This window comes from Homo sapiens, chromosome 8 (genome assembly GCF_000001405.40).
Source record: "Homo sapiens chromosome 8, GRCh38.p14 Primary Assembly".
NCBI classification, from domain to species: Eukaryota; Metazoa; Chordata; class Mammalia; order Primates; family Hominidae; genus Homo; species Homo sapiens.
The window spans coordinates 104,028,808-104,049,888 of NC_000008.11; the positions used below are offsets into that span (position 1 = coordinate 104,028,808).

The window sequence follows — 21,081 nt, forward strand, 5'->3', positions numbered from 1 at the left end:
CCTGATCCAGACTCCAAGAGAGGATTCTCGTATCTCAAACAAGAAAGAATTCAAGGCAAGTCCACAAAGTGAAAGCAAGTCTATTAAGAAAGTAAAAGAATAGAGAATGGTTACTACATAGGCAGAGCAGCCTGCTGCTGGTTGCCTATTTTTATGGTTATTTTTGATTATATGCTAAACAAGAGGTGGATTATTCATGAATTTTCCAAGAAAGGGGTGGACAATTCCCAGAACTGAGGGATTCTCCCCTTTTTAGACCATATAGGGTAACTTCCTGACATTGCCATGCCATTTGTAAACTGAAATGGCACTGGAGTAAGTGCCTTTTAGCATGCTAATGCATTCTAACTAGCATATGAACCGTGAGGACAAAGAAGTCACTCTCGTTGCCATCTTGGTTTTGGTGGGATTTGGCTGGCTTCTTTACTGCATGCTGTTTTATTAGCAAGGTCTTCATGATCTCCTGTCTCATCCTGTGACTTAGAATGCCTAACATCCTGGGAATGTAGCCCAGCAAATCTCAGCCTTATTTTACCCAGCCCCTATTCAACATGCAGTTGCTCTGGTTCAAATTCTTCTGACAAAACTTGCCTAAAGTTATAGGCCTAGTTAATGGCAGAGATATTCCGACCAGCCAGCTTTCCTGGCTCAATATGGTGACATATATATTACCTTTTCTATCAATCATTGATAGCTTTGATCTAGTTCTTTCATTGTCTTAAGCTGATATTCATAAATTTATGGTTATTGGAACTTTTCTGTTACCAGCATATGTTACTTTTCAACAAATATTTGCTAATTTCAAAGGTTTATTTTTTCCTCCACATTTCAGAAAATGCTGTCTGCCAATTTACAGATAGGCTGACTATTTTTAAAACAGCCTATTTCTTCTTCTGTGTACTCAATCTTGCTTCAGAAGATAGAATGTCATCTATTTTTTGGAACATCACAAATTTATGAAATGGCAAAAGGTGAAATAGCTTTTAAAAATGATAACCATGTAGCATTTGATTTTGGGAACAACTCTGTAACACTTGTAAAATCTTTCTTAATTATTCGTAGATAACAAAAAGTGTAGGTAATTCAGAATCAACAAATACTTTAATATTAATGAGATTATTTTTCCCAACGTGGGGGAAATACTCTGTTGTTTTTTGCATTACCGCAGATTAATGCTGATCAGGGAGCAGTAGTGTATCCAAAATCACCTATATTTGATGTTACAGTATAGCATATTTTTCCATTTTTGGCAGTGGTTTCATCTTTCCAGTTATGTTTTACTTAGCTTGATATTATAAAATATGTTAGTATTCCACTATTTATGGCTAAAGGTAGATAGGATACCAGAGCATTGTGTATGGCATGGTGAAACTCTATAGGGATTAAAATACACATAGAGCCTGGCAAGGTGGCTCATGCCATAATCCCAGCTACTCGGGAAGCTGAAGCGGGAGGATAACTTGAGACCAGAAGTTCAAGACCAGCCTGAGCAACATAGCAAGATCGTGTGGCTAAAATATTTCTTAAATAAAAATCAAATATATATAATTAATAACTAATTGACTTATAGTATGGCTTTAGAAACATATAAATAAAAAGAAAGACAAGTTATAAGATATATAATTATTTGTGAATGCTACTATGAGAATAAGATTAAATGGTGGCCAGTGAATCTTTTGTTCCATGGCCTATAAGGCCCTACATGACCTGTGCTCCCCCACTTCCCATCTCCATTACTACTTCAATCTTATCTATTACTTTTTTCTTTGTTTGTTATGCCCCAGCCAAAGTGACCTCCATGCTTTTCTGGAACATATCAGACATGCTTCTAACTCAGGACATTTGCACATGCTGCTCCTCTGCCTGGAATACCTTCTCTTTAAATAACCATATGGCTAACTCCCTTACTATCTTAAGTTCTGTACTCAAAAGTTGCCTTCTTAGAGAAGACTTCCCTTCCTGCCTTATCAAAAATTTCATTACCTCTGGATATTTTATTTCCTTCTTACCTACTTTGTTTGTCTTTTTAGCATTTATCAATATTTAGGTCATAGTATATTTTACTTATCTTGTTTATAATCACTCTCTCCCATTAAAATATAAACTTTATGAATGTATGGGGTTTTGCCTGTTTTGTTTGTTGTTATATCCCTGTACCCAGACATGCCTGGATTATAGTAGGTGCTGAATATATATTTATTAAATGAATGATTGTTAACCACATGAGAAATAATTGTAGATAATCTTAGATGAGCCAAGTAACTCATATTCAATGATACCAAGCTGTTACTACTAAATATCTTTGTCTTCCTTTATCAAGATTTTTATCAAAATAATATCTCATAGCATATAAATGTTTGTCATTTATGAAGATACTAAATATGGTAATAAAATAGCCGTTTTATCTCATGTATTGAAATGTATTTATGAATTTTCTCTTGATGTTTCAAAATTTCTACATTGTAATTCTATATAAACATTTCATTTCATCACAATAAAACAAAGTTTAGTAAAATGCTTATTTCTAAAATAAGCTAGTATGTATTATTTAACATAAACTAAGAAAAGACCTTGTCAAACCATTTTAATTATTAGTTTATTCATACCTTGACTGCATTCATTTTATTGAAAATGAAGTTTGGGATATACTAGAAGTAAATTTTGTGCTTTGGAATTTGAAATCTATTAAGCAAAATTTTAATGTCACATTTCTATATTTAAAATGTTAACTGCATATTACATAGTTTATGTGAGAATTTAGGAAAAATATCCCCCAAAATCCCATAGATCCCTGAAGTATATTTAGATTCTTGTTATGCATATTATCTAATGTTTCTGATAAGCCCTGATTATTATTTTTGATTTATACTAGAAGTTACATGGGAAGACCAGCAGAAAAAGGTGAATGGTACAATAAGTGATGACAAACCATTGCCGAAAAAGAAACACCAGTCTGAGACAGGTTTGTCAGGGTTTGGAAACCATATGAAAGCATGAGACTACAAGCATTGCATTTCATGCTTTTTAAAATGCGTGTGTGCTTGTTGTACCTCATTTTTCTCATTTTGGTGTGGACTTGATAGTGTGTAGATTCCATTTAGATTAGTGTGGTAAATACTTTATTTCAAGATTTGTTTAGAAAACTAATTACACATATTTTGGGAAAAAATATAATTATTTTATTATTATGAAGATTAGTCCTTTAGGGAAAAAATGACTAATTTAAATACAGATGGTCATCCACTTTACATATTTGATTATGTTGACTAAAATTGAAGTACTTTAATGCAGAGGTACTTGCTTCCCTAAAAAGTACAATAAAAGCTCAATATACTATCTAAAGTTTGTCTTTGTAGGATATTTCCATTATTTAATTGCAAATGCTATTGAGATATTTATACCATATATTGGTAATTATTTATTTACAATCTCTGGAGATAAAAAATATCACCAACCACAAGGAAGAGGGTTAGCATAGTATGTGAATTCAATAAGGAGTCTCTTCAAACTGTTAATTCTACCAGTGAATTGAAACAAAGTGTTTTTGTTTTCCTCTCCCTTCCTTATTTTTTTGTGGAGAGATATAATTAACCCATTTATGCTGGAGGTTACACATTTTTTTGTGTGAAAATCAGACCTTGGCAATGACCTTAAGCAGTAGGATATAAATAACTCCCACAAGCTTAGCATTCCAATTATGGAACACTAGGCGTAAATGGATTAAGTAGAAGACAAAACTTGAACCAAGAATAAAATGAAAAAAGACAAAGTGCAGAGATAATTGATTAACTAAAAAACCAGTACTACTTTTAATTAGTAATTGGATGAGAATACATTGAAATTTTCATTGAAAATTTAAAACTTCAAGGGGAGTTTTACTAATGATATTATAATTAAAAATAGTTGTGTCTGTAGTAATAATGTTAAAGTATTTTTATGTGCTGACTCATTATTTCATGTTACAGCTCTAAGACCCATATTTTAAAAGATGTCAATGTAAAAATTAAACTAGTCTTTAACAAGTATTTGTTGCCATCCTTCTGTATTCCAAACATTATACTTGGCACTGACCTATTAGAGTAGACAAGACAGATACAGCAGTTACCCTCACACAGCATATTATGTCTGTGAAAATACATAATTTAAATATAATTATAATAATGATTAAGCTATTACAATTGTAGTAAGTGCTATTAAGGAGAATAGGATGCTTTGAGAAAATGTATCATGTAACATAAGTCTGAAGAGCAAAGAAAGATGGCGTAGTGCTAATATTAATCTATGAATTATTTTTTAGTAAAACAGTACCTACTGAAAATGTAATAAAATAAACTGGAATTCACATTGGGAATTTAAATTTTTTCATAAAGTTGTAAGAAAATATATATTTTTTCAAATCTTCAGTTCATATCAGTTTATTGGGAAAATAGTGATTAGCTTAATATATTTAAGGATATTTTTAAGTAAACAAGATAAATATAAAATTAATGTTTTATGTTATGATTTATATATCAAAAATTATTACTGTAAACCTCTCCCCTTGCTACATTGTGTGATACAGGTTATCCTTGATCATAAGCTATTATTTATTTGTTGTCCACTTTGTCATCATGTCCAATACATGAATATGTTTGTGGCCATATGTATCTATGTAAATAAGTTACATTGTATATTAAAACACAAAACAATGCAATATTTAAAAAATATTTTGACATCTCAGAAACACAACATTTTAAAGATCTATTTTAAATATTTTACTTAGTTGAATTTAACTATAGTGTCTTAATGTCATAGTTGAAAATGATTATAGTTTTTTTTTTGTTTTGGCGATTTTTTTTTTCCTGTATACTAGGAAAATTGGTCCTGGAAATTGAAACCCTAAATGTCATGAGTAAGTATGCAATATTCTAAGGCAGTAAAAACAATGTTAAATTTTAGTGCTTCATAAATATTCTTATCTGTTTGTTTCTAAAAGGAAATTGGGATATTTAAAGAATATTTTTAATTATCAAAACTTTGGAGTGATAAAATGGGAGGAAAGTAGTAGGATGTAGGTATAGCAGATGATATTTCAACAACATGTTTATATATGCCTATGCTTTACAGAAGACATGTTTGGAGTTATTTCTCTTATGTTTAAGTGCATTTATGATATTAATAATCTATTGAATATAAAGTGCTTAATGTATAATTTTTATGTGCTGAAATCTAAGAAACCCACTTCAATAAATTGTCAAAGATTCCTTGTCAAAGGGTTAATGGGGCAAACTTGTGGCATCAGAAAAACTGTATGGGAATGAGCCCAAACTTGAGATGGAAAGTTGGCTGTGCATCAATAGCATATATTGTTTTCTTTTTCAATTGGTGTTTTATGAAAATCTATGCTAGAACAATTTATAATACCTGGGAATTTGCCATTTCTGGGATGTTTACTAGCAATACAAATAACACTTGAAATTTTTATTTTAAATGTGAGACTATAGAACCAAGGAGCTAAATGGTATGACATGGACTAGAAAACGAGTTAACAAGTATTTGGATGAATTTTGAGTACTATGACTAGTAATTGCTTTTTTTAAAGAATGATCTTGGTATTTCTGAACTGGGATGTCTTGAGAGGATTATCAGCAAAACAAGTGATTTACTTGCAGTATCTTTTTTTTTTTTTTTTTTTTTTTTTGAAACAGAGTTTCACTCTTGTTGCCCAGGCTGGAGTGCAATGGGGTGATCTCGGCTCACTGTAGCCTCCACCTCCTGGTTCAAGCGATTCTCCTGCCTCAGCCTACCAAGTAGCTGGGATTATAGGCACCCGCCACCACGCCTGGATAATTTTTGTATTTTTAGTAGAGACGGGGTTTCACCATGTTGGCCAGGATGGTCTCAAACTCCTGAACTCAGGTGATCCACCCACCTCAGCCTCCCAAAGTGCTGGAATTACAGGCATGAGCTACGGTGCCCAGCCCTACTTGCAGTATTTTTACCTTAATTGACATCAGTATAGATAAAGATCACTGGGAAATGTAATATTTATCATATTAATAATTTTAACTTGTGAGTTTATCTTTCCTTATAGTAATTAGAAATGTTTATGAGAAAAGAGCACATTTACACATAAAATATTTTAAGCTGATATTTTAATTACCACACAAAAAAGTAGTGGGAAAGCTCCCTTAAATTAGAAGTTCTTCAGGCTTAATGAATGTTTTGGAAGAGTTACAATTTTGCCTATTCTCCAAAATTAGTCTTAGAAACTAATCTTGGACTTATATAGTTCAGAATTTATTTATTTGGACATATAACTTTAAAATGATTATGAGCTTTGATTTGTTATTTTCTGAGTGTAAGTTATGCTACATCTAGGAAAATCTTGAATTGACACAGCTATTGTTATTGCAACTGAAACCATAACGTGCTCTTATCTTGTATCTTATATGGAAAATAACTGTTTTTTTTTTTGTAAAAGTGAAGGCAACTAAACCCTTTGCTGATATACTGTATGATTTAACAGTATTTTTGAAAATTGAAAATATTCAGAGTAACAAATTGTGTTTTACAACTTACTATAATATTTTAATGTGTACATAAGCTCCCAGATTTGGCATTATTTGCTTTAATTAATATATTAATCTTTAATTTTTTTCTAACATGTACATTTCCATATTGTGTTCTTTATGGAATATATAAGTATAGTGTAGGTAGGTTTTTTTTTTTACTTAATTTTACCTTTGGAATTATGTTTTGTAAAATGTATCTTTAGGAAAAGTAAATATTCAATTAAGTATTTTGTTAGTGAATTTTATACTGTGAAATTTTTTTTGAGTATTTTGATACTTTGTACTTTTGTTTCTTTTTATTCTTGAATGTTTAAGATTTTTTGAAAGTAGAAAAAATTTATTTTAGTCTAAAGCAGTATTCCACATCAGTCTTCTTATTAAATGCTAGTTTAAGCCATCCAGTCTGGAAAAAGGAATTAGGGTTCTGTTCTTGGTCATTATCAGCAGCTTGATAATTTCTGAATTGTTGTAAAATAAACATATTTTATTCTTAATTGAAAAAATTTATGTAAGACAAACAAATGTTTTATATGACAAATCAGGTGATAGAATTTGGAATAACTACTACTAGTATCTTAAGAAGTAAATAACACATTCTTTCATTGTAACCATGAAGTGAAATTTCATGATTTATGAAGTTAGTTGCTCATTTAAAATTAGTTCAGTTTTCTCTGCACATACAGATAAGTTTGTAATGCCAAGCCTATTTTTCAGTAACCATCCTTCTTATGATAAACAGCATGCTATAGTTTCAAAATAAAATTTATTTTATTTTATTTATTTATTTATTTATTTATTTATTTATTTGAGATGGGGTCTCTCTCTGTCACCCAGGCTGGAGTGCGGTGGTGCATTCTCGGCTCACTGCAAGCTCCGCCTCCTGGGTTCACCCCATTCTCCTGCCTCAGCCTCCCATGTAGCTGGCACTACAGGTGCCGGCCACCATGCCTAGCTAATTTTTTTGTATTTTTAGTAGAGACAGGGTTTCACCATGTTAGCCAGGATGGTCTCTATCTCCTGACCTCGTGATCCGCCTGCCTCGGCCTCCCAAAGTGCTGGGATTACAGGCATGAGCCACACCACCCGGTCTGGAAATAAATTATTTTAAACTCCCTCAGTACATACTCTCTTTTTTTCTGCATTTAAAAATGTATTATATGTTGGATTTCAAAGATAAAGTCAGGGAAAAACAGCACAGCTCAAAATAGGAAGGCATTTAAAAAATAACCTTTTTAGGCTGGGCACAAGAGCTCATACCTGTAATCCCAGCACTTTAGGAGGCCGAGGTGGGCAGATCATGAGGTCAGGAGTTCGAGACCAGACTGACCAACATGGTGAAACCCTGTCTCTACTAAAAATACAAAAGTTAGCTGGGTGTGGTGGCGTGCACCTGTAATCCCAGCTACTCAGGAGGCTGAGGCAGGAGAATCGCTTGAACCCGGGAGGCGGAGCTTGCAGTGAGCCAAGATCGTGCCACTTCAGTCCAGCCTGGGCAACAGAGTGAGACTCCTTCTAAAAACAAAAAAGTAAATAAAAAATAACCTTTTTATGTAAGTATAGTGAATTTTTAAAAATAGCAAAGTATTTGAAAATACGGCACCTAATTTAATAGATGGCCATTTAATAGGTTGAAATTATTGTAAATGTTCAGTAATTTTATGGTTGTAGACAAAATTATTGGAAATAATCAGTTTAGAAATGATTAGTTCACATCATTTGGATTGAGAAATTTTTCAAAAAGGTTTTGTCACTGTGGAGATGTTCTAGTTTGTCATCTGTAAACTTGGTAAGCATTTAGTTTTTATAGGAGACTTCTATTCTGATCTTTGTATCACTGAGGTCCTCCTACTAGGTTCTTACTTAGGCTTATTTTTTGAAAGGTATCTCTCCTTCCCCCAAAGGAAACATTCTAAGACTCTGTGACCTTTAATGAGCCCTCACACTATGATTAGCTTCTAATTATGTTCAAATTCTAATATACACTTAGAATCTTCATGCTTCTGTTTCATTGTGTCAGGAACGTTTTTAACATAATGCTTGTTTCTATGAGACATAGACACATAGACACATATTGTTCAACTACAATTAAATCTGGTAACAGTACCAAGTGTATGCCTGTTGTAAATGGTGGTAAGTGAGAACATTAGCCAATCAGCAGAATTTCAGATAGATATCAAACACCCTTGGTGAAAACTGCGTTTGTGGATAAAGAGGCCCCAAGTGTTTGTCTTTTTTAAGTTGATTACAGATGATCATTTCTGTTTGAACTTGAGACATGTGTTCAGTTGAAACATAACAATAGTTAAAACATTTTACTTTGGCAAGGAAAGAATTCTTAGTTTGCACAAAATTTTACATAAAATCTCACATCATATTCTCATGAGCTTACTATATTACCAAATATGCTTGATGAAAGTGATTTTATACATGCATTAATATCTATATATGTAGATATGTAGATATACAGTCATGCATCACATAATGACAGTTCAGTCAAGGATGGATGCATATATGACAGTGGTTCCATAACATTATAATACTGTATTTTTACTGTATGTTTTCTATGTTTGGATATACAAAATACAATTGTGTCACAGTTGCCTATAGTATTGAATAGAATAACATGCTGTACAGGTTTGTAGCCTAGGCACAACAGGACTATATCATAGCCTGGGTGTGTAGTAGGCTATACCATGTAGGTTTGTGTAATTACACTCTATAATACACAATAATGAAATCACACCCATCTTGCTTTTTATATTAAATAGTTTGCAACTTGATGGTATCTTAAATTTCAAAATATTTGTTGTAATATAATTTACCGTAAGTGATGAAATGGTGCTTATGAGTTTATTCATTATATTTTATATATCTTTTATTTCATTGTAATTTGTGAAAATATTTTATTTTGTATGATGGAATGAACAAAAAATACCGCACTTGTTTTTGTTTTTACAAAGAAATTCTTTATATTTTCTGTCTGAAACAAAGATCCAGCCATAATTTTGATAGTACCTGGACACCTAAAAGAGGGAATACTTTTACTATCCTTAATCAGTCTTAACTGGTTATTGATTAGATGAAAAGTTGGGTTTGTTAGTTATAGAAGAGTCTGGTAACTGGTTATTGGATAAATGAAAAAGAAAGAGTTCTCATTAGAACCCTTCATTAACTGCACTAAAAAGTAGAATATTTGACTGTGGCATGGTAATGAGAAATATGGGAGAAGTAGAGGGGATACTCTTAGCTTCTTCCAAGTTTCACTGAAGTCTGCTATTCATTATAATACTATATGCAAAATAAATACTTACAGCATATTATCATTTGCCTAAGACATGGCTGCTTACGTAAGGGAGTTGACTATAAGTTTCTCTTTTAAAATGAGGCTGTTTAAATGCAATAGTACATAATAAAACTATAACCACAGGAAATCCAAAAAACCAAAAATGTTTTAAATATATCTGATACAACTATAGTTATATATTGAGATTTTATGCATTACATGAATTTTTATTTGCTAAAGTTATATTTTTATGTAGGCTTAGTTATGGACTAATTATTAATGGATCATATTCAGATAAACTATGGCAAATGACTTAATTGATACTTTTAGTAGTGAAATCATTTTCAAAATATTTCATTTTCATCACCTTATTAATCATATAAATTTTGTACTTCCTGAAAAAAAAATTTTTATTGTTGATTCTAAGATAAGTTTTGCCATATTCCTTATAAGAATGAAAGCATTGGTGAATTACTTGACAGTTGTAGAATGTGCCACTTTGAAAAAAACTGTTTCCAATTAAATACTATATAATAAAATATCCAGTTCAGGCGTCACCATGAGAGAATTATTTTTTCTTCTTTGTTTGATTTTGTATTTTACATGTTTTTATTGGGTCATATAGTACCTAGTCCAAAGAAAATTGACCTGGTAATCAGGAGACCTGTGTTCTATTTCTGGCTCTGCAACTGAACTTGTTTTGTATCATTGGGTAAGTCACTGGAACTATGTGTGCCTCTGCTATTCACTAAAATTAATTCATGAGTGAATTGAGAATAATTTTTCATGTTTGGATCCACATAATATGAAAACCATTGCATTGATGACACATAAAGTAATTCAAAATATAGGAAAATACTAGATGAAGAAAAAAGCTTCATTTGTTTACGTAGTTTTTATACTTTCTGCAAACAATAAGATCTTTTCTTAGAGATGGAATATATGGAAGCCATTATTTCATCCACTTCATACCAATTTCATTTTTACTTGTGAGGGAACTATTTTAGTAGTATGGAAAATGTGTATCTAGGGAAATTTTGTGTATAAAAACACAATGCAACATACGAAAGTCGGCATTTGCCTAGGGTATTAATAAACTGTGATTATCCTACCTTATTCTTCTTTGAGAAGCAGGTGGATTGATGATGGAAACAAAAATATAGCATGTGTCATTTTAATGTGTATTAGTATATTTCTGGAGAATCTGAAGATTTTTTTTCTAGGGGTTAATCCTGTTAGCAGTATGATTTGTAATTTAATTGTGATGAGATTTAATGTCTTATTTTCAACAGGTGAAAAAATGTGTTCATATAATAATAAAAATGATATTAAATTTCCAAATGTCATTTCTTTTCCAGTTTTCTATAATTCATGCTAAGATTTCTGGTTTTTTCCTAAGAAAAATTGTTTTGGTCATCTTAGCACTAATGGACTTAATCTAATGGAATGTTTTCATTTTATCACTATTCATATAAAGAGACAAATTTGTCATAGGAAATCATTCTCTAAAGAGCTATAATTTTAATATGTTGATATTGCAAGTATATTTTGATGCAATATGCTTTGCTATATAAGTCAACTCAAAAATAATGATGCAACTCTTGCAGAACTTAAATGTGGTGTTTGATTTTAGAATTTGTAGTATCTGATTCAAAGCTAAGTGTTTAAATTAAAATAGGAGATTTTGGTTTTGTGGCATATTGTTCATCTGTGTCAATCATACTAGTACACTAATATCTTTGGAAGAAATTTTTTCTTAGAATGCTCAGTTTAACAGACATTTTTCTGTTTCCAAGTCACTGTATAAAATGTTATTTGAACTTCTTCACTAGCACTAGGGAAAAAAGTTTTTCCAAAACATATCATGTCATATCTGTTATAGTTGATGGATTTGGATGGATACATTTTAGCGTAAATTTTAATAATCTATAAAGTGGCATTTGTAAGAATCTGTTGAATGAATAGGCATTAAAAGGGAATATGATCAAAGAAAATTTGTCTACATTGAAGTTTAGTTTGGATTTTTAATGCTGAAATGAAGCCATGTATTTCAGCTACTCTTCTAGTAAAGACTTGTACTATAATTATTACTTCATAAAATTTTAATGATATTTTGCTGTATTGAAATAATTCAATTAAATATTGGCCTGATGACCATTCTTTGTTTTTGTGTGCACACTGGTTTACTGGGGAAACATAAAAGGAATAGAAATCTGTTGAAACTATTTTTATTGCTCTTTTTGGTGATGACTCAATTAAATCTTTTCTTCAGATAATTAAAAGTTTGAAAGCATTGTAACAGACTTTAAATTGACTCAGTAATGTCTTGAACAATGTGGTCATGCAACTAACACTGTTTTTACTAATGGTATCTTTCTTCAGCATTGGTGTTCAGGATTTGCTGTACGTAAATAATTGTAAACTTCTGGATCTTCTTTATTTCTACACTAACTTTATTTTTCTGAATCCGCTAACCTATAGTAACAAAATCAACTTGCCATCAGTTCTTACGTATTTTTTGTGGAATGCATTTGATTATATCTTCCCTAAAACTGTACACAGGATTCTTTCTCAAAATGATCTGAGGCCCTTTCCATCAGTGTCACTTTTTACCTTTTGAGTACATCCACTCACTCCCATCTCCTTTGTCTATGTCTGTCCATTACACGATGTGATCACAGAAGAACTGGACTCTACAAGGAGAAGATATGCAGGTCTGTCTCTTCTGCTTTTTTTGTTATTATTTTATTTATCTAACTTGTCCTAGAAATGTTTAATCATTTTTTTACTCATTTCATAGTTTTTCATTCCTTTGTAATATAACAAAATATTAAATCTTATGAGCATTTTAATTTAGGTATTTGTGTATTCAACTATCAACAGCAACTGCTCCAATTAGATGGATAAAAGTAAAATAATTAATTTTTATGTAATATGTATAGATGTAATTTTTCCATAAACTGAATAACTAAAGGCAAATAGGATGTGTATGTATGCGTATGTATATTTAGGTACACACACACACATATGTTTGGTTTCAAGCATTTTAGACTTAAAACTAGTTTTTTGCTTTTTAAAATAATTCCAAAAGTATTTGATTTCTAACATGAGTTCATCAGTGTTCTACACTGTGGAGAATACCAAAGACCTAATACCCTAAAAAAGCTATCAATATCACTGAAGAGTTAAGAGATGTGGATAACATGCACTGTTTATGTGTCAAGGCAGCTTATTCTGACAATATATTCTACAGAGATATAAACTCAAATGAAGTTTATTTCAACTAGACAGTCAGAAAAAGTGTCTTGGATGAGGTAACATTTGAGCTGAAACTTGAACACATGTGGTACTGTTCTAGGTGCTGGAAGTAACAGGAGACACACAATAGCTCCCTATCCTTGCAGGCGTTTCCTAGTGTGAGTGTATATATTTTATATATATATAAAATATGTATGTACATGTATATACACACATATATAAAATATAATGGAATCAGAAAAGGTGGTATGATTCCTTTCCCCTGGGGAGGATGGATATTAGTTCAAGAAAGACTTCATAGAAGAATTTAGTTGAATATTAAACGCTAGAACACTGTTAGCTTCTTTTGTAGAGAGCATTTCAGGCAGAGGAAACAGTATGGCCAGTAGCTTCACACAAGTTTGGCGAAAGTAGGCAGAGACCGATTTATGAAGATTATGTAGGTTACTGACACATATAAAGCAACAGAATAGGTCAGATGTTTGTTTCTAGAAAGATTACTTTGGCAGTTATATAAAAGATGGACCGGAGCAATATAAGCAGAAAGATCATATATGGGAATAGTGTAATGAATCAGTTAAGAAATGATAATGGTCTGAATTAAGGTATCAGTAGAGGCAGTCAATACATGAGAAGTTATATAAAGATGTAGAACCTACAAGTCCTGGTCACTGATCAGACTAGATATTATTGATGCAGAAAGAGGAGGAATAAGATGATTTCAGGTGACTGAAATGTTTGATGGTACATTTTATCAGGATAGAGAATATATGTTATACAAGTTTCAGGGGAAAGATAGAGTTCACTTTTAGGATAGGTAAAATTTAAGCCTCATTTGAAATATTCAAGTATAAATATCTTATAGAGGTGATTGGTGGTCTGGAATTCAGGAGAGAAGTCTGGGCTAGAGACATAGATTAGGGTAGCATATCAGCATTCAAGTGATGCCATTGGAATTAATGGAATTGTCAGTAGCATATGAAGAGTAATAAGAGAGACAAGAATCAAAATTTGGGGATCACCAGCACTTATTTACATTTAAGGAATGGATGAAAGAACAAAAGCCAGAAAAGTATGTTGAAAATGATTAAAGACGGATATTCATGAAAGAAGAGAATTTAAAAAAATCTGTGATAGAAGTGAATCTTAAGAAAGGGGTACAATCAGCAGAGACAAATTCCAGAGAAGACAAATATGTTGTTAAATGGTAGAACTAGACAGTAATGATCTTTGCCTTATTGATTCAGTCAAGTTGTAGGTAGAAACCAAATAGAAGAGAAGGGAAAGGAGATGGAAAAGAAAAAAATGAAGGTAGTTAATATAAACTAGGCTTCTTGATGGCTTGGGGAAATTTTAAAGTTAAGAATACCATGGGAAATAAGACAGGAAGGTCCCCAAGGATATCCTGAAGAATGGTTATAGTTTAGCTGAGTGGAGACCCTAAATTTGTGATGGCATTGGTTCTCTAAGATTGTGTAATGATTGGCTCATTAGCACACTTCGGATGTAGTAATTAATCATTTGGATCACAGTTGGAACTTTGTGGGCGGTTATATAGAAAGAAGAAAAGAATAGGGATGTCAAGGGTGGTTGGCAAGGGAAGTAGTTGAAGTAATGTTCAAATGGATTGGGAAGGATGTTAGTTGTGTTAAATCATGTTTTCATGTGAAATCATGCAGAATTTTTCATGAATTGGGAGATAAGGTCTCAATGATAGAACTGAAATTTGTAGCGATATCTAAGGCAATAGAAGCAAACTGAGCAGGTTATTATGAGAGACAATTTAATTATCTTAAGAATTTTCAGATGTTGGACAATTCCAAATAATGTGAAGATACAATGTTTGTTTCAAGGAGTGAGTTTCCAAGATGGAGCATGGATTACAGTTTGGGAATGCAAATAAAGCTACAAATTTTGATGCTAGCATTTTTATACAGACAATGAAATTATTGAGGGCCTCAGCTTGATAGATATGTGAAGGAAATTGCCTAGAATATAGATGGTAGCAACAAGGAAGAATAATGCTATGAACATAAAAGGCATAGACTTCACATAGATTAGAAAAGTAAACATGTGGAAGGAGCAATTTATACCAAGAATGCTGATACCGTTTCTGGGATTGTATAGCATATATGTAAGTTAAAGGATTTTGAGCGGCTTCCCCTCAGAATGTTTCCCTCAGGGAAGATAGTATTCTTGAAGGGTCAACATTCCATTCATGATACGAAAGGAAATGAACGTTCTCTGATGAAGCTGAGGGATATATTGTATTTAAGTAAAAGCAATAGGGTTTCAGACCACAGTAGAAAAGATTAGGAGGTCTCTAAGCAATGCAGAAAGAATTAGAGAAAGAAGCTCAGGATAGTAGGGTTTTGACAGTACCGACTGGAAAATGTTAAGAACGAATGCTGGTTGGAAGGAATGAACCATGTAATTTAGTAGTAGCAAAACAAGGAGAATAATAAGGAATTTAAGCTTAGAGGGGGAAGAAAATTCAGAGGTACAACTTAGAGGTTGAGCAAAGGAATCTTTATGATATGCATAAAGGCAGAGGAAAAGGACTTGGTTGGGAGAATTTGAAGACTCCAAAGAGGAGAGGATTAATAATGGAAGCAACTTTTCTTACAAAAAAAAAAATGGTATCTAGGATGTATGTGGGATGTTTAAATTTATGGAGGCAAAAATGTTTTATTGTCTTCAAATATTAAGTTCTAAATTAATTATCATAGTTAACTAAACATAATTTGAAGTCTTTCTTAACATACACTTTTAAAATTGTAATGGTAGCTATAGATCTATAATACCCCTTTTCTTCCTAGTATGAGGAAGTTGAAACCTGAGCTTTCTGGATTTCTGTTACAGACCCCTAATACTGTAAGGGAGACATGGTCTATGTTAACCAGCATTGTGTTTTGGATTCTACAAACTCACATAAGCCTAGAGATAAATAAAGACTAATGCATTCTCTTCCAAAGTAAGAGTAAAGAGAGAATAATACAGACGATAAGAAAACATTCAGAGAAAAAGGAAATTATTTTAGAAAAGGAAGCAGTAAATTTTGTGACAAGCAATTCAGAATGTATTTCACCTGTTTAATAAAAGCAAACTAAAGTTAAGGCTTTTCAAAAACTGACTGTAGTATGTGACCAATAAAAGGTAATATCTTTATTAGCCTGTCACTCACATCTCCAATTAATATGCAAGTTGGTTATCTTTCTTTATAAATTTTAGCCCAAAATATGATGGAGAAATAATTTCACAAGTCCAATTACTTCACTAATATATTTGGTCAAAATGTATGTTTTATGTTTAAACCACAATTATAAGACCTTCAATTGCATTACGAGGTCCAATTACAGTCACTACAACATCTTCTACACAATAAATGGAGGAATTGATTACACATTTTGAAGCAGCAAAATATGTTGACTTAGCACTTGCAAATCATAATGAAGTTTATTTTAAATGAGAAGTAGCATGCTTTATTAGGGTGTATTATACCTTTTCTTACTCATATGAAATTTCATATGACAATTTTTTAAAATAATTGTTAAACAAGTCTAATACAAAATAAATTTTAAAATACTATTTGTTAAGTTACATGAAACAACATCTTAAGTTTCAGCTACACAAATTTTTAGAATTACTTCCAGACCTGATTTAGAGCATCTGACAAGATTAGTGCTTGTGTAATATATCAGTTTTACTCATAAGTAGATCTCAACATAAAAAATGTTTTGTCAGCTATGTTTCTCACCAGTCTCTTAGATCAATTATTATTATTGTGATATTTATTTTTGTTATGATATGTTAATAATTATTAAATTATTATTACAGTTGGGTCTGTGCTACCTTAAGAGTTTGAGAAAATATGTTATAAATTACTATTTCAGACTGATCCATTTGTCTTCCAGATACTAATGTTAATTTGAAAAGCTTAACAATTCAAATTGAATAGATTTCAAACATTTCTTAATAAAAATACAGTTGGGAATAAGTAACATATATTTTGTGTTGTAATATAATGTTTAGTAAAATCACTTCCTGTTAGGGTTAGCTAAGTGAAACTTCTAAAAATTAATACAATTACAGTATTCTTTTCTGTTTTGGTTCTCTGATTATTCTGAATGTTGCCCATTGATATGTATTATCTTAGTCCATACAGACTGCTGTAACAAAATGTCATAAGCTAGGTGGCTTATAATTCACAAAAATTTATTTCTTACAATTCTGGGGACTGGAAAGTCTAAGTAAGATCAAGGCACCAACAAATTTAGTGTCTGGCTAGGGCCTGCTTTCTGGTTCATGGACCACCATCTTTTTTTCCCTTTGTCTTAATATGAGAGAAGGGGCAATGGATCTCTCTTGGCCTCTTTCATTATGGCACAAATCCCACAACACCCTCATGACCTAATTACCCACCAAAAGCTCCATCTGCTAATATGCTCATTTTAGTTGTTAGGGTTTCAACATGAATTTTGAGGAGACACAAATATTCAGACTAGCATGTATTATTTCAAACTTGTATATCAATTCTTGTCAGATTTGAGTGGCATATATGACATATTTTGAATGCTCTGTGCTTTTATATGGCATGTTGTTATACTTATGTCCTAAAAAGTGAAGAGAAGTAACATTCATTATAGTAGTAATTTAATATATGTGCATGTACGGACACATATAAATGCACATATAAGCTGTTCTTGAAATTTTCCAAAATCTTCATTATTATTATCAATTATATTTCACATTCTATCCATTTTATAGATACTCTGTGTGCATTGATTACATCCTTTATTTGATTAACTCAGTATTATTGATGAAAGTCAAAGACAGAGATACTCATGATGGCTCAGTCATGAAAACCTTATATAACCCTAGTACCCTGAAATCTTGAAAATGCAAATCACTCAGTCTATAAGGAGGCACAAAGTGTCAATGCTATGTTCAATACTGGGCTAGATACTTTAAATGTTAGTATATAGGAATATTTTATATAAGCTTAAGCTTAAATATTTTATTAAGTATTCTTATGATACATCTAAACAAAAGTCTCAAATGAAATATATGTACGTATAATATAAAAATATATCACAAATTATATGACAGCTTCTATTGATAAAGTATGATACTTAAGCTCAATTTACTAAAGCTTATAAATATTCAAATAAAAGAAAAGAGTTAAAGCTCTTGGGACTCAAAAGAGTAAGGATGCCCCAACATGGAACAAATAGCTGTGGAACAAGTAGCTATTTAGTGATTAAGTAAGTCATTTAAAATGAGGTTTGGAATGCAACATTTTTTAGTTCTTTTTAGATATAAAATTTTGTCTACATTGGAAATTAAAGGATGTTACTGCTAAATTATTAATATATTACTCATACATTCTGAAAACTATAACATTCTGTTTTACCTATGCCTATCACCCACCTTAACTCTGTGTCCTAAAAATTTCAGCTGTTAGGGAAAATATTTGTTCCTGTAAGAAATATTGGTCTGAGAAGCAGTATAAGAGCAGATTCTGGAACTAAACTGCCTCATCAGCTCCACCACTTACTTGCTCCATGATCTTGTGAAAGTTACACTGTTCCTCAGATTCCTCATCTGTAAAATGGGAATAATTATAGTACTACCTCAAATGGTTATTGCAAAGATTAAGTTAGCCAAAATGTAGTGTACAAAACACATGAAAACTGTGTCCAGTACAGAGCAAGCACCATAAATGAAGAATTTTATTTTTTATAAAAATACATGAAAACTGAATTTTTATTTCAAATCATCTGCATTTTGATGTGTATGCATTATTTCTATGATCTAGAATTAATTCTTTGTTATATGCATTACAAATATACTAGTTTGTGACTGCTAGTTTAGGAGATAACTGACAAGCAAATCTATGCATCAAGCTTATTGCACCTGTACTCTTAAGCTTTATCATTTCTGAAAAACATAGTTGGGTGGAAGGAGCAAGAGCATTGAAATCAGACAGGTACGAATTATTATTCAGGTTCTGCCAGTCAGTAGGGATATGACTTTGGGCTGGTTGCTTAACACTTCTTATTAATCTTAATAAACTCCAGCTAGATTAAGGGGTTAATTATGTTTTAATGAAAGCACAAAATATTTATTTCTGTGAAAAAAGAAAGCCATCCTAAAAATAAAAGCAATTAAATAAATTTAAAAAGAGGAAGAATCCTGAGTACAATGTGGCAGGTATAAACTTCAGAATATCAAAATCATCATAAATAAAAGGCACACAAGTTGGGAAGATATTTGCTGCAACTCAGATAAAATATTAAAAGCCTTAACATCTGAATAACTTTTACAAAGTATATATTAAATAAAACTCTAATAGACAAAATGGGCAAAGGATATATACAGACATTTCTCCAAACAAGAAATGCAGTGGTAAGTAAATATATGAAAACATTTTATTTCAGTCATGACCCAATAAATACTATTTTAAATGAGATATCATGCCCACCTATTTAAAACACCATGGTGATGCCTGTATGTGGAGAGAAAAAATTATAAAAAAACCATGGTAAGAGTGTGATAACAGAGTAGCAGTGAAATTTAGCATAACCTTTCTAAAAGCACTTCTGCAATATAAATGAAGAACCTTAAAAATGTTCATAGACTTTTGACTGTGTAGAAATAGAAATTCAAATAAAAACATATGTATGATATGTTCACTAAGCATTATTTGTAACAATAAAAACGATCTTACAATGAATATTAAATAATGGGGCAATGGCTAAATAAGTTATATGCATATACAGCCATTTAAATGAAGAATTTTTTTGACATATACATTAGAAACACATTTCTTTTTTTGTAATTTGAAAGAAATTGAAAGTAATGTCTGTAAAAAACTTGTTACAAAGTTTCATCCATAGTAAATAATCAAAGAATGGTAGCTCTTATTAATTATTACACAACTCAAATTATGCCGAGGTTATTTTTTAGATAAATATCATTAACTCTTTATGATTTATGTTTGTTATAAGCAAAATCAGTAGGATTTTGAATCCAGATTTAATACATCAGTAACCTGTAATGATGAATTAGTAAGGAGTTTGGATAATACCCACTTCTAGGATTATTTTTAAAAAGAGAAAATTTCTTTTAATAGTAGAACTGGGCATCGGACTATAGCTTGGACACTTCATGTGTTCATCTGTGGCACCAGAAACAAGACAAATTACTTCTAGATTTTTCTTTAAAAAAAAAAAAAAAAGGCCGGGCGGTGGCTCACGCCTGTATTCCCAACACTTTGGGAGGCCGAGGCGGGTGGATCACGAGGTCAGGAGATCGAGACCATCCTGGCTAACACGGTGAAACCCCATCTCTACTAAAAATACAAAAAATTACCCGGGGTGGGCGTGTGCCTGTAGTCCCAGCTACTCGGGAGGCTGAGGCAGGAGAATGGCGTGAACCCGAACCCGGGAGGCGGAGCTTGCAGTGAGCCGAGATCGCGCCACTGCACTCCAGCCTGGGCGACAGAGCGGAGACTCCATCTCAAAAAACAAAAAACAAACAAACAAAAAAACCCGAAGCCATGCTTTTGTTAAAGAACAATAAAACAAGTAATGTTTTATTCTCTGTTGCCCTGTTTAGAGGCATGTTGGTACAGGCAATAAAACAAGAAATTAGAAGGCCAATGCGATCTTGGACAAGTTTCCTAATTTCTCCAATCTCAGTTTCATCATTGTTAAAAAAATGAGGTTGAGGGTTGATAATTTGTGTGTATGTGTGCATGTGTGTATACTTTCAACCAACAGAAAAATAAAAATAAATGACCAGCCAAAATGAAAAATTTTCCACTTCAATAGCAAGCAAATAAATTTCAAAAAAGGAAAACACACAAAAAGACATAGTCTACCACTTTTCTCATTTAGGATTGAAGAGTTGTGTTTAAAATTAGATAAATTTTTCATTAAATGTCTAGCAGGTGGCCAAAAGCAAATTGTTAATAAAAATCAT

General features: G+C 31.8%; 1 protein-coding gene across 64 annotated transcripts in view, besides 2 other annotated features; it reads left to right on the forward strand.

The window, feature by feature from the left end:
* Window positions 1–21,081, forward strand: part of RIMS2 (regulating synaptic membrane exocytosis 2) — a 755,485-nt gene that overhangs the window by 528,198 nt on the left and 206,206 nt on the right. For 20 of the 64 annotated variants that reach the window (NR_145711.2, XM_017014010.3, XM_017014016.3 and 17 more), the window contains one exon: window positions 12,519–12,551. The exons of 43 other annotated variants lie outside the window; for them this stretch is intronic. Coding sequence is in view for 20 of the 21 variants with exons in the window: in XM_017014010.3 (XP_016869499.1) it covers window positions 12,519–12,551 (33 nt within the window). In the remaining variant the exon portion in view is untranslated. The remainder of the gene's footprint in view (window positions 1–12,518; window positions 12,552–21,081) is intronic. One more of the 64 variants, NM_001348509.2, reaches the window with a different exon arrangement.
* Window positions 214–508: a silencer, noted in NCBI's record as "tiled region #520; HepG2 Repressive non-DNase unmatched - State 24:Quies, and K562 Repressive non-DNase unmatched - State 24:Quies". NCBI's record gives its function as "represses a minimal TATA promoter and a strong SV40 promoter by Sharpr-MPRA in HepG2 and K562 cells {active_cell/tissue: HepG2 | K562}" and the evidence as "EXISTENCE:reporter gene assay evidence [ECO:0000049][PMID:27701403]".
* Window positions 482–982: an enhancer, noted in NCBI's record as "OCT4-NANOG-H3K27ac hESC enhancer chr8:105041517-105042017 (GRCh37/hg19 assembly coordinates)". NCBI's record gives its function as "activates a minimal SCP1, AML or CMV promoter by ChIP-STARR-seq in primed H9 embryonic stem cells {active_cell/tissue: H9 hESC(primed)}" and the evidence as "EXISTENCE:reporter gene assay evidence [ECO:0000049][PMID:30033119]".